General features: G+C 36.0%; 1 protein-coding gene across 3 annotated transcripts in view; it reads right to left on the bottom strand.

Moving 5' to 3' along the window:
* Positions 1-806: 806 nt before the first annotated feature.
* SEC62 (SEC62 preprotein translocation factor) overlaps positions 807-13,971 on the bottom strand; it is a 31,567-nt gene continuing 18,402 nt past the window's right edge. For all 3 annotated transcript variants that reach the window (XM_047448819.1, XM_011513114.4, NM_003262.4), the window contains 3 exons: positions 13,315-13,375; positions 10,821-10,940; positions 807-6,586 (listed from right to left, as the gene is read on the bottom strand). In XM_047448819.1, coding sequence (XP_047304775.1) covers positions 6,117-6,586; positions 10,821-10,940; positions 13,315-13,375 — 651 coding nt within the window. In that variant the 3' untranslated portion in view covers positions 807-6,116. The remainder of the gene's footprint in view (positions 6,587-10,820; positions 10,941-13,314; positions 13,376-13,971) is intronic.

The raw sequence follows: 13,971 nt of genomic DNA, 5'->3' as shown, positions 1-13,971 counted from the left end.
CTAAAGGAAGGGATTCTGGTCAAACAATGACTTGCCACCTGTATCCCTCTCTAAACGTTTCTCTTTTCCAGCTGCACCTTAACTAGTTTCAGTTTCAGGGGATGCCATGCTCACTCTGCTGTCTTATTTTTGCACATCTTGCTGCAGTGGCCCAAAATTCCCCTAGTCTTTACTTGGCTAATACCCACTCATTCTTCAAGATCTAGCTCATGATACTTCTATGGGATGCCTTTCCTGACCTTCCTAATCTGGGCTGGGTATTCACTTATGTGATCTCATAAGCACGTCACAGATACTTTTGACATTACACAACACCATTGCCACTGTTTGCATGAATACTTGTCTCTCTTACTAAACTAGCTTTTTGAGTTTTGTGATTGCACAATGCTTAGCACATAGTAATCACTCCACAAATGTTTGCTGAATGACTGAAAGATAATCTTAGTGTTGGTAAGATCCTGTTTTGCTTCTCCCATTTAAAAGATGCTTCAGGCTGGACATGGCAGGTCACATCTGTAATCCACAACTTTGGGAGGCCAAGGCAAGAGGATCATTTGAGCCCAGGAGTTCAAAGCCGACATGGACAACGTAGGGAGACCCCATCTTTATGAAAATTATAAAATTAGCTGGGTGTGGTAGCATGCAATTGTAGTCCCAGCTACTTGGGAGGCTGAGGTGGGAGGATCACTTGAGCCCAGGAGGTCAAGGCTGCAGTGAGCCGTGATTGTACCACTGTACTCCAGCCTGAGTGACAGAGCAAGGAGACCCCCATCTCAAAATAAATAAATACATAAAATAAATAGAAGTTGCTACAAAAATCTTGACTTTTTATTTAGGAGTAAGATATAATCTATCAAAACAAAACATCACATAACACATGTAACTTACTAAATTTGTGACATGAAATGTGAATAATATTAAAATTGAATTATGCGAAGTATCATTGGCCTTTGAATAAGTTATAGTCCTATTTGAAACATTGGTGGATCTGATTAGCTAGGGCAGGGGTTCTTAACCTACAATTCACAGACCTCTAAGGGATTCACGGATAGAATTCAGAAGATACATGAACTTGGATGGGAAAAATTAACTTTAATTTCACTAGCCTAAAACTAAAATTTAGTATTTCCTTCAATGACGAGTGCAGACAACAATCCACAGTTGTACTAGCAGTAACTTTGTCAACAGAAATCAGGTATTTTCATGTTACATCACAGTTGTTGCAGATATCTAATATATGTTTTATGCTACTTCAACATCATAGCAGTTATTACATCCACTCGTAGATCTGGCTATTAAATGCACACCTATAACTACCACATCATAAATTATTTGGTAGCTTACACTTCAGTGTAATTCGTTTCCCTTGTAACCCCATGCATTTCCTTTTCTGCATTTAAAAACATTATTCTGGCCAGGCATGGTGGCTCATGCCTGTAATCCCAGCACTTTGGGAGGCCGAGGCAGGTGGATCACCTGATGTCAGGAGTTCAAGATCAGTCTCGCCAACACGGTGAAACCCTGTCTCTACTAAAAAATACAAAAATTAGCTGGGTGTGGTGGCATGTGCCTGTAATCCCAGCTACTTGGGAGGCTGAGGCAGGAGGATCACTTGAACCTCAGGAGGCGGAGGTTGCAGTGAGCTGAGATTTCGCCACTGCACTCCAGCCTGGGTGACAGAGTGAGACTCCATCTCAAACAAACAAACAAACAAAAAAAACCCATTATTCTGAGGAGTCCATGACACAAAAAAGTTAAAGTGATCTAGGAAATCATTGAAAATGAAATAAGACCAAAGTGTGATGATATGACCCCCTTGAAATTTAACTTATCTTTCCCTCTTTCTGTCATGCTAAGAAGAGATCATAGGCCTTTTGGACAATCCTAAAACTATAAACCTCAGAAAATATGTCCTCTCTCAGACTGAAATTTCGTCTGATTGGAAAAGCCATGCAATTAAAGTATCAAAGGATCTCTGTGCTAGGTTGGACAAATGAAATAAACGCATTGGGACCTACTCAGAAACTCACAACTAACTGCTTTAGCCATTGGTTTAAGGGCTTGCCAAAGAAGGCAAATTTAAATTAATCTCCTTGTGTAGTTATCTGCATGACATTCACTAGAACAGGATTTTAGTTATCAAAATGCTTACAACATGCTGTATAAAGTTATGAGATCTTTTCTAATGTTTGGTGATAAGGATCTGACAAAGAGGTCAATTCCTCATTGGAATTTTTGTTCCCTAGGAATTTCTCCTTGGTATTGGTCTTGATTCCAATAAGAAACAGATGGTTCTTTACATGAAGATATTATGAGGAGATAAGTATAGGTATAGGCTACCCAAAGAGGAAGCACAGTAGCTTCTGCAACTCCAGGCTAGTAGCAGCAGAACTGACATCATCCTTGGCCAGAAAGGAAGAGTGCAGGGACTGGCAACCTGGAAAGCAGGGAAGGAGTTTGGGAGAAGTGACCTTTGGCTGCTAAGGCAGCCCCCCAACCCCAGGAGAAGAGCCGAGAATAGGCACCCTACCATCCTCTGATCTCTGGCCAGGACACTCCTTGGCCAAACCCACTCAGAAGCCAGGAGGCATAGGAGCCCACTGCTGTGGTCCATTCGGGTCAGCTTTGTGGGCAAGAGCAGAGTGGAGCTGGAGGGGAAAACAAGAGATATCCAGCACATGTAGCAATTTGCTGCCGTAGCACTTAACACACTATTTAATGGTGCAAGAGAATTGTATTTTTATTCATGGTTGTGCCTAGTAAAATTCTGGTACATGGTAAGTGCTCAGTATTACTGAGTGAATGAGCAAAGACCTGAAATACTGTGGAAACAGTAAAAGCAAATTACCACACAATTAGGAGGAATTATTTTCAGACATAGGATATTTAAAACATCACTCAAATACTGGAGCATGATTCAGCAATAAATTCTATTCCATAAACCAGGTAGATAAATGTCACAGCTTTAAAATATAGTTAAGTACAGTTGATCCTCGTTATTCATGGATTCCGTATTTGTGAATTTGCCTAACCTAAAATTTTGTGGTACAGCAAAAAACTTGCTGTACACATATTCTGAGCTGAGGTTGAACAAGGCCATGTTCCAGCTTTCATACTATAAACGTGTCCTTTTTACGCTAATGCCATGGTTTTTGCATTTCTGTTCTTTTTTTGATTTCACTGTTTAAAATGGCCCCCAAGCATAGTGCTAAGGGCAAAAAGCTGTTCCTAAGGGTAAAAAGGCTGTTGTGTGCCTTATGAAGCTTATGTGTCAGATAAGCTTCATTCAGGCATGAGTTACAGTGTTGTTGGTCATGACTTCAATGTTAATGAATCGATTATATTAAATAAGGTGTCTTTACAACAGAAATTTACATGTTGACTGCTTGATGAAAATGTGACCAGTGGCTTGCAGAAATCTAGCCTTGTATTTCCCCTAGGTTCTATATTTGCTAATTCAGTGTTCGCAGTGACTTTATAGAACGTAACTACCTTGAATAATGAGAATCAACCATACTTGCTGTTTTCCAGTTCCTAATAGATTTAAAAAAAAAATTCAATTTACAAAAGACACAAGATGACTTTTCTTGTCAGCAGCTAACTGATCCTCATGATGTAAAACCAGAAAGAGGGGGGAAACACCAAAATTCATCACCACTGCATAATTTCAATGTGATATATTAAAATTTATTACTTCCTGAATAGTATTCAACTAAATCTATATTATTTCAATTAAAGTTACCTAGGCCATATGGTTTGAAAATTGAAAAATCCAGTAAGAGGGAAAAGGAAAAATACCTTATTTAATACATTGACTTTAAGAACAATCACATATGCATTATTCTTACTATCTGAACTTAGCCTCTGGTAAATTCAATCCTGCTTAGTTAGGCCAATTGATACCCTCTACAATAAGCCCTACATGATCAAAAAGCTTCATGCTTTCTACTTACAGCAGCATAGCAAATCTGAAGTTCTTAAAAAAAAATCGCCATTCTATTAACAATTATAAACGATTTTCCATGCTCTGGTACAAGAATATTTAATGTTAGCCAAGAAAGATAGCCATCTATTCCACTGAGGATTGTAATAGAGGCAGCCTTTTGATTTTTATATTTGTTTAAAGTACACAACTTGAATAGTAAAATAGAAACTGAGCTGAAATTTCTAATTCACTTTCTAACCATAGTAAGAATGATATTTCCCCCCAGGGATCACCAAATATTTATAAAAATTTGTACTAACATTCTGTAAGAATCCACACACATCAGTAAGAAGCTGACCTTCCTGTTGGCCATGCTCCAAATGTCTTTAAGACTAGACAAATTACATATATTATAAAAAATTTCAGGATGAATATTGAGTGCCTGGGTATTATCACAGTAATAGTAAAGGTTAATGAAATAATTTTTATTTCTGAAAAACACCATGTTTATACCCCAAAATAGGTATCAATGTTACTGGTGATAAACTCAGAAGTGATCATTATATATATGCTTACTGTGGAAATGAAGTAGTAGAGCTCTGCAAATGGGACGGGAAAATACCCAGGCACTTCATCAATGAACATTTATTTGCTAAAAAGAAACTATTAAAGTGATTGCAGCCTTGACATAGTTGCATTAACATCAAATAGCCACATTTATGTCCACTTACAGGGACTACTATAAAGAAGCAATCAAGCCAAGTTTAATAAAATGTGTCGATACAGAAAACATATTTTTCACAATTAGAAAAATTTAACATCTTTAATTCAAACACTTAGATGAGAAACAGCCTAAAGCAAAGACTGACATACACTACCTATTTCAACCACAAAGCAAGATGCTCTCACTGTGACTGAAGAAAAATCATTTAATATTCATTATTAGTTAGTATAACTCCAAGGAATGATTATGCTCATAAGTAAACAAGAGTTTCCAAAGACTTGTAACTAAGATGTATAAGACGTAAAGTCAAACTGCAAAACTAGTTCAAAGCAATTAGAGTCCAATAGTTCTCTTATGTTTTCTTTCATTATCTTTATTTTAAATTTGATATTTTAGAATAGGAAATTATCTTTCACAGCAATGCCTCCTGGTCTGATAATACAGTATCTCATTTCTGAATGTAAAGATTTAAAATAAATCAAAATGAACATTAAGGCGTACAAAGCTACTTTAAGTCTGCTCTTAAGATCAGTTTTTGCTCATATTCAAAATACATGGAATGTTGGCACAAAACTGAAGCTGCTGTAGAAAGATCACAGATGTTCTGTGGGTTACTCAAACTTCCATTTCTCTAAAAACATACCCTTACATGGTCTTAATTTTATGAATTTAAGTGTTGAGAAATATCTAAATAATAAGTAACAATTAAAATAAAATGTTTTATTTGTAAATTATGTACAGAATACACTTTACGTTACGCCAATGAAATGGGGAGGGAGGAGGGAGAGCCATCACCTTCCAACAAATGCTGTTCACTTTCTCTGCTGGAGACGACCATCTTTCTCTCAGTCAGACGTACAAATCAGTGTGGATTTCCTACATTGGAAAAATAATTTAGCTAAACCAGAAGTGTTGCTGCATTGTTACTAGTTGGCTTGTTTCCACAAAATAGTTTTGAACTCTGCTAACTCAGAATCTTAAAAGAAATCTCCTGGTATAATTTTATAATGAAAAATAAAAACTATCAAGGACAATGAGTTTACACATCTTAAAGAAACTGTGAAATGGCTACATAACTATGCATAATGTGAAATGTTGGAGTTTCTTTGTTCCTTTTAAAGTTATTTTTGATTAGTCTAACAGTAAAAAGCCATAAAACTATCAAAAATTGCCATTAATGTAAATTTAACTGTGGAAAGTACATCTTTGATAACTGTCAAAATGAATGAGACCTACTTACTGTAAAATTATCAAATGGATAAAACATATTAATGGCTTTAAACTGTACCAATAATAGTGCCAATATTCTATAAAATGAAGGACCGAATATAACTGCTTGAATGTCAAATACATTTCAGTAGATAGATTTAAAGAATGCTACAAATGCCATGTGTTCAATATGGTAATCAGCCAACATAGAAAATCCAACCTCTTGTACTTATTCATTCAGTCCCAAAATTAGTCAGATTATGATTTTTCATGTGAAGATTTAGGTGTTTCTCCATCATTTTCCTCTTCCTCATCCTCTTCACAATCCCCATCTGTTTGCTGTTCCAGTTCCTCTTTTGTTATCATTTCAAAATCATTTCCATTTCCACTACTGTGCTGGGATCGATCATCTTCCCTCCTGTCACTGTCCGTGTCTGAATGCCGTTCTCCCCCCGAGCCTTCTGTTCCATGATTTCCTGGTCCTACTTTCCCCTCCTCATCTTCCTTTTTCTCACTGTCTGACTTTTCCTCACTGTCGGACTTCTGTTGCTTTTTGGTTTCAGACTTCTCATCTTTCTTTAAGTCTGCTTTTGGTCCTTTGTATTCATGTGTGTACAGAGGCCTGAAGGAGTCAATGAAGCCCACATCAGCAGTCAGATTTGGCAAGAACCAAAAGTGGTGCCTTCCTCCAGTTATGAGCCAAATGATGAGAAATAGAATGCATCGAGCTGTGGGGAGAAAAATTTCTCTAATTGAGTAATTCAAACACTGCCTCAGAAGGGAGTATTTGTTAATAAAAAGCTGGGAAAACAGTTTTATTATCTGCACATTTCATACACCTTAAATATTAATATTTAAATCCTGATTAGTGCTGGGCGTGGTGGCTAAACCTCTAATCCAAGCTACTTGGGAGGATCACTTGAGCCCAGGAGCTCGAGGCTGCAGTGAGCTATAATTACACCACTGCATGCCTGAAAACAAAAAATTCCTGACTAGTTTAGCAGCTATCACGGTATTCTAGGGGCACAGAATGTTGCTCTGAACTTGAGGTCACAATGCAATAATGTCACTGAAAAAAATTACTTCTTTTTTCCATCTGGGTGTACACTTACATGGATATACACTTCTGATTTATGTACTTTGTGATATTATGCTTCAATACACATAGCAATCAGTTGGGAATTTAAGTATTCATAAGATCATGGTGTAGGAAAAGAATAAAATAAAGAGATGAAAGGTGTTTAGGAAGGAAGCCTTTAAGAAGGAAAAGCAGGGCTGCATCATACTTCCCAAGGCCCTAGGCCCTTTTGCCTTTGTAAGGCACTTACTCCACAAAAACTATTAAATATTATATTTTCTATACATTTATGACTATATTTTCTGTACATCTGTATAAACACGAATAAAATACTGTATAGGTTTGCTATTACATACATGTATATACATTACTACTTCTGATTTAAAAGAAATAAAAATGAAAATATTTCTGTGGACCCCTATATGTATCTTGGTCCAAGGCACACGTTTACTATGCCTAAAGGATAAATTAGCCCTGGATAAGGAACCCCAGTATTAGAAAGTTTCCATCTTTTAATCCTTGTTTTCTTATTTATTTATTGAGGACAAGGTCTTGCTCTGTCACCCAGGCTGGAGTGCAGTGGCACAATCATGACTCGCTGCAGCCTCAACCTCCTGGGCTCAAGCAATCCTCCCACCTCAGCCTCCAAGTAGCAGGTACGTGCCACCATGCTCCGCTAATTTTTGTATTTTTTGTAGAGATGGGGTCTTGCCAAGTTGCCCAGTCTGGTCTTGAACTCCTGGGCTCAAACTCCCAAAGTGCAGGGATTACAGGTCTATATCTATCATTTATTTATCTAATCTCTCTCTCTCTATCTATCCTCCCTCTCTCTCTACCTATCTACCTACTTTGATAGACAGGTTCTTGCTATGTTGTCCAGGCCAGTCTTAAACTCCTGGCTTTATGTGATCCTCTCACCTCAGCCTCCCGAGTAGTTGGGATCGCAGTTGTGAGTCACTGAACCTGACCTTTTTGTTTTATTAGTTAGGTAAACTATGTAATTTTTGCTTAAAGACCAATCCTCTCAATATTAGGAAAAATACAATGTTAATGAAAGCAAGATCACTTAAATACATAAGGTTTACTCTTTTATAACACTGTATTATGAAAAAACTGTAGAAAAATGGAATTTGAATTTTAAAATTTGTAGTAATGAGTTATCACAAACCCCAATATTTAGTTTTCTCTGAATTTACCAATTATGTAGAGCTGAGTGATTTTTTCCTGTTTTTTAAAAGGTCATGATGATTATGTGAATGTTACAGACTAATCAATTATGACAGGAGTTTTGGTTTTTGTTTTCTTTAGACAATTCTGTCACTGTTTTCATATAAAGCCTGAAATAAGCTAATCTATGTGTCTTCCATTATTTTGCTTTGTATAAATGGAAGAAAATCGTTATAGCTGTCTTGACTTTTAAAAATAGCAATTTTTATTTTCACAAGAATATAAATATTCTGAAAGACTCCTGTACACATTAGAATCTTTCGTGGTATAAACGGAAAAGGTAAATATGCTTAAAATTATGATTTAAGAATAAATTCCACTGATAAACAGAGATAATGAATTTAAGGAGGCTGTACATTTTTTTCTCCAATTATGATGCAATGATAGGTTTTACAGGATTGTAAGACAGATGATTCATAATATGAAATCTTGTATCAAACCAAAGAAAAAGCAATATAGAAATGGCACTAACCTAATTTCTTATCACATACAAATGGTATGGCAAAATGTTCATGTTTTACAGTTTTTCGCTATGTGGCACTAGATTACCGAGAGTGAAAAGGGAAGAATTATGGGGAAGCTGTGACATGTACTATAATAACATTCCTATGCTAAAAGCGACAGATTTTAGAAAACTGCCAAAGGTTTTATTTTAAATGGCATTATTAATAATGCATATTCAAAGAAACACCAGATATAATTGTGACCAATACATAATATTTCAAGACCCTGACTTTAAAAAAAAAAATTAGCTAGGCATGGCAACATGCTCCTATAGTCCCAGCTATTCAGGAGGCTAAGGTGGGAGGGCTGCTTGAGCCCAGGAGTTTGAGGGTACAGTGAGCTATGATTCTGCCATGGTACTTTACCCTGGGCAACAGAGCAAGACCCTGTCTCCAAAAAATGAATATATATAAAAATATATTTCATATAAATATGAGATATCATATAATATATATGACATATCATATGATATATATTATATGATATATATGATATATAATATTATGATATATCATATATCTATATATCATATATATTCATATATAATATACATGATATATATTATATGCGATATACATAATATATATAAAGACTTCAAAGAATAATATAAAAGAAATATCTAATTATTTGAAAGTATATTTGGAATTGCATTTTCTAAGAGAATCAAAATAAAATGTTGGGTTTGTTTCCTGGTATAATTCAGAAGACTATTTGGTTCATAATGCATATTTAAATCCACAGCATATTTACAATGAAAATTTATTTAAAGAGACTACTGAAGAAACAATATTTTAAACAGCAAAACTACATAATAACCATAAACTATTGTGAACACTGGTTTAATTTAAAAATAAGCAAGTAGAATAATTCTATTCAGTGGAGCTAAACCTTTGCTAAAAATTTCCAAGGAGTTTCTAAATTTCAGGAATTTGAAAGGCAAAAAGCACCAATTTTATTATGTCTAATGTCAGATCAAAGTTTATGACTTTTCCTTCTTGATGCAGGTATTACACTGACACTAAATTCAAACAGGCTTAGATATTGTTTCTTGGCCTACAAATGTGCCCGTGTTCCATGCAAAACCAGCAGGGGATTTTTCTGCTGCCAGAGGTTACCAAATCAGAGGAAGGAGGCTGGGCGTGGTGGTTCACGCCTGTAATCCCAACACTTTGGGAGGCCAAGGAGGGCAGATCACCTGAGGTCAGGAGTTCGAGACTAGCCTGGGCAGAGTGATACCCTATCTCCCCCACAAAAAGCCAGGCATGATGAAATGCACCAGTACTCCTAGCTACTTGGGAGGCTGAGGCAGGAGGATTGCTTAAGCCCAGGAATTCAAGGCTGCAGTGAGCTATGATCTCACCACTGCACTTCAGCTTGGGTGACAGAGCAAGACCCTGCCTCTAAACAAATAATCTATGAAAGACCCCAATCATCCAGAAATGCGGAAAATTCATTTACTTATGTTTTCCTATTTGATTTTTAAAACATTAACTCCTTATTGCATCTAGTATTTTGGTACTTGGGTGAAAATTATTGATTTTTCCCAAAATGGCAAATCAATTGTTTAGAATCATTTATTAAATATATGCATAGATTATTTAGATGTTGCATTTGTTCTAAGTCAAAATTAAAAAATGTTTTACTGAAAGTATTATGTCTAATAAATGATCTACCACTGCAAAAATATTAAACGCCTCTGCCATAACTAATTTTTAAAGCACATCTATTTGCAGATTAAGATATAATAATGTATGGTATATTTCAAAATAAGTAAATTTCAAATGTCTCACAATAAATGATAGGCAAGAAAGGTGATCAATATGCTAATTATGTTAATTAGCTTGATTTAAACATTCCACATTGTACACATACACCAAAACATCACATTGTACCCCATAAATGTATACAATTATGATCTGTCAATAAAAAATAATCTTATTAAAAAATTTTTTTAAAGATGTATTAAATCCTTTTTCTGCAGACAGAACACATCTTACCAAGCCTGAGTTTTGAGATTTGACTCAGAAAGTAGTACCATATATTTCTTGATTTACCTCCATTAATTTTTCTTAAGCTTTACTGAAGCTCCAAATTACAGTCCAACTGCTCAATACCAACCTTCTTGAGGTCAATTTTATAATAACAATACTTACCAACAGCAAGGAGAAGAATACTGGCTACAAAACAGCCTGCACCCACACTGAGGTAATAAACACCTACTCTCATTTCTGCTGGCCAAAGGGGGAAGAGGGTGGCCGCTATTACTGCAATCACTGGAACAAGAAATGACAAAAGTTAAATTTTAGAATAAAAACTTAAATGGTATGGCTGCACTAACAGAAACATATCCCTGGGGGAAAAACTGAGAAACATAAACACAGTGAAATATAAAATTGCCATTTTTATAGGTAAAAAATGGTCAATTATGAGCAATTTCATATTGTTCAACCTAACATTTTATACTATTCTTAAACTAGTTTTTATTAGTGTAAATTACATATAATTAGAAAAAAATGCTATGTAGAAATTCAAAACTGTTGCCTCCTTAATTTATCAACTGCCCCCTTTTTCAAGCTATATCTACTTTATTTAAAAAATACTAAGATATTTGCCTACTAAGTAAGGGAGCTAAAAGAAACAACAGAACAACAAAGCCAACAAAAAATGATTTCCAAGACCCCTCTCTGGAGATTCTTCTTCTGGGGTGGAGCTCTGACATCCACAGACTGAAAGATTCCCCAGGTGATTTCTGCTACAGATGTATTTTTTGGTGCTTAGGGAAACTGTTTACAAGTGTCTCCAGTTTTTTTGCAAGTAAAGTGGGGACACAAGAAAGAATTATAAGAAATTAGAAGCCTGGTTATTAGGTCTTTAGAATAAGACCAGGATTAAAATTCTAGCTCCATCACTTATAAGCTATGTAACCCTGGGCAAGTTACTTAACTCTTTTGAGGCTAAGTTACCTTATATTTAATAAGTCTCTTCCTATTCTTCAAAGGTTGTTGTGAGGATGAAATGATATATTGTACGCAAAATATCTAGCAAAGTGACTAGTACTCTTATTATAAAAGAGTTATTTTGCTTTTTGTTTTCTGAAACAGAGTCTTACTCTGTCACCCAGGCTGCAGTACAGTGGCATGATCTTGGCTCACGACAGCCTCGACCTCCTGAGCTTAGGTGATCCTCCCACCTCAGCCTTCTAAGTAGTTGGGACTACAGGTGTGAACCACCACACCCGGCTAATTTTTTGTAGAAACGAGGTTTCGCCATGTTGCCTAGGCTGGTTTCGAACCCTTGGATTCAAGCCATCTCCCTGCCTTGGCCTCCTAAAGTGTTAGGATTACAAGTGTGAGCCACTGAGCCCAGCCTTAAAGAGTTATTTTGAATGGGATCCTATCATACCATATTGACCAAGCTTATTTTAACTGCTACCTATTTTTTTTTTTTCTGTTTGTTAAATCATTCTTTCCCCATAAAACCTCCTGGAATACACACGTTAAAAAGCAAATCAAAAACAAATCAAACCCCCAGCACTTTGGGACAACGAGGCAAGTGCCCAGGAGTTTGAGACCAGCCTGGGCAACATGGCGAAACCCCATCTCTACAAAAAAATACAAAAATTAGCGGGGTGTAGTGGAGTGTGCCTATAGTTCCAGCTACTCAGTAGGCTGATGTGGGAGATCACCTGACCCCAGCAAGTCGGGCTGCAGTGAGCCATGATTGTGCCATTGCATTCCAGCCTGGGTGACAGGAATGAGACCCTGTCACAAACAAGCAAATCAAAAGGTATAGAGAAAATTAAGTCTTCATCTAATTCTTATTCCACTTCCCAGAGGTTAAGTACTATTAAGCTTACCTGTATTCTCAGAGACTGCCTATATATAATTAACTAGCTACAGGGACTTTTTTTCTAAATAAGTAAATGAGCTTATACTATTCTTACTCGTCTGTAACTTTCTTTTCTTTTTTTATCTATTCTAGGTATAATATCCTTGCACATGTACGTTTGTGCAACTGTGATTATGGCATAGGGTAAATTCCTTAAAGTGGAATTTATTAGATCAAATGGTATAAGCATTTTGAATTTGAAAGATATTTGCTAGATTATACTCAAGTATAGTCTAAGGGATTTGGAAAAAAACAGATAATGTGTCAATGCACACACTTTGTGCAACTGTATGGGAACAGCCTAGAATTGCTGGGTCACTGCAGACACATAAAATTTCAAAGATACTGACAAACTGCCCTTTACAAAAATTAAAACAATAGACATACCTATCAACTGTTAGAGAGAGCTGATTTTTTTCTAAGACCTTTAATGTTAAGGTTTGCAAGACTCTTAATCACTACAGCTTTAATTTGTATATGAGTGTGATTAAGTATCACTCATGATGATTGGTCATTGTATTTCTTTATCTGTTAACTACCTTGACCATTTTTCTATCAGTTTGTTAATCTCTTAAAAGATCTTTAATATGTTTCAAATATTTTCCTTAGTGTATTATTTATCTTCTGACTTTATTTAAAGTATTTTTAAAATGACAACTATTTTATGTTAAATTTAGGAACATTTTCTTTTACAGTATCTGCATATTGTTTTCTAAATTTTAGATTGCACTTTATAGCTATTAACATCTCACTACTTACCAAGAATTAATCCCATGACAAATGTTTTAAAGTGAACTGGGTCATAGATCCATACATACACCTAGAAGAATCAAGAAACCTCGGTGCTTAAAAGTTCTAATGTCACATTAGAAAGTAATGCTTAATTCTATATTTTAGGTCCCTTAAAGCAGTCATCAACCTCTTAACATACGAGAAGTAATTTCTAAGGTAAATAAATTCCAAAGATCTTTCCTTCAGTAGTAGTGGTTCTTCTGGCGCTAGAAAATGATTATAGGATAACTATAAATTCTATAAAGCACTTAAGTAAATTTGTATGTTCTTACATACACTTAAAAATTTGTTTGACTGGGCTTGGTGGCTCACGCCTATAATCCCAGCACTTTGGAGGCCAAGGCGGGCAGATCACTTGAGGTCAGGAGTTCAAGACAAGCCTGGCCAACATGGTGAAACCCTGCCTCTACTAAAAATACAAAAATTAGCCAGGTGTGGTGGTGGACGCTTGTAATCCCAGCTACTCGGGAGGCTGAGGCAGGAGAATTGCTTGAACCCAGGAGGCAGAGGTTGCAGTTAGCTGAGATCACACCACTGCACTCCAGCATGGGCGACAGAGCAAGACTCTGTCTTGGGGGAAAAAAAAATTGTTCCATGTGTGCACATCATTATTTATTCAACCAA

The sequence above is a fragment of the Homo sapiens genome, chromosome 3 (assembly GCF_000001405.40).
Source record: "Homo sapiens chromosome 3, GRCh38.p14 Primary Assembly".
Classification (NCBI taxonomy): Eukaryota; Metazoa; Chordata; class Mammalia; order Primates; family Hominidae; genus Homo; species Homo sapiens.
This window is presented reverse-complemented; position numbering and strand designations above follow the sequence as displayed.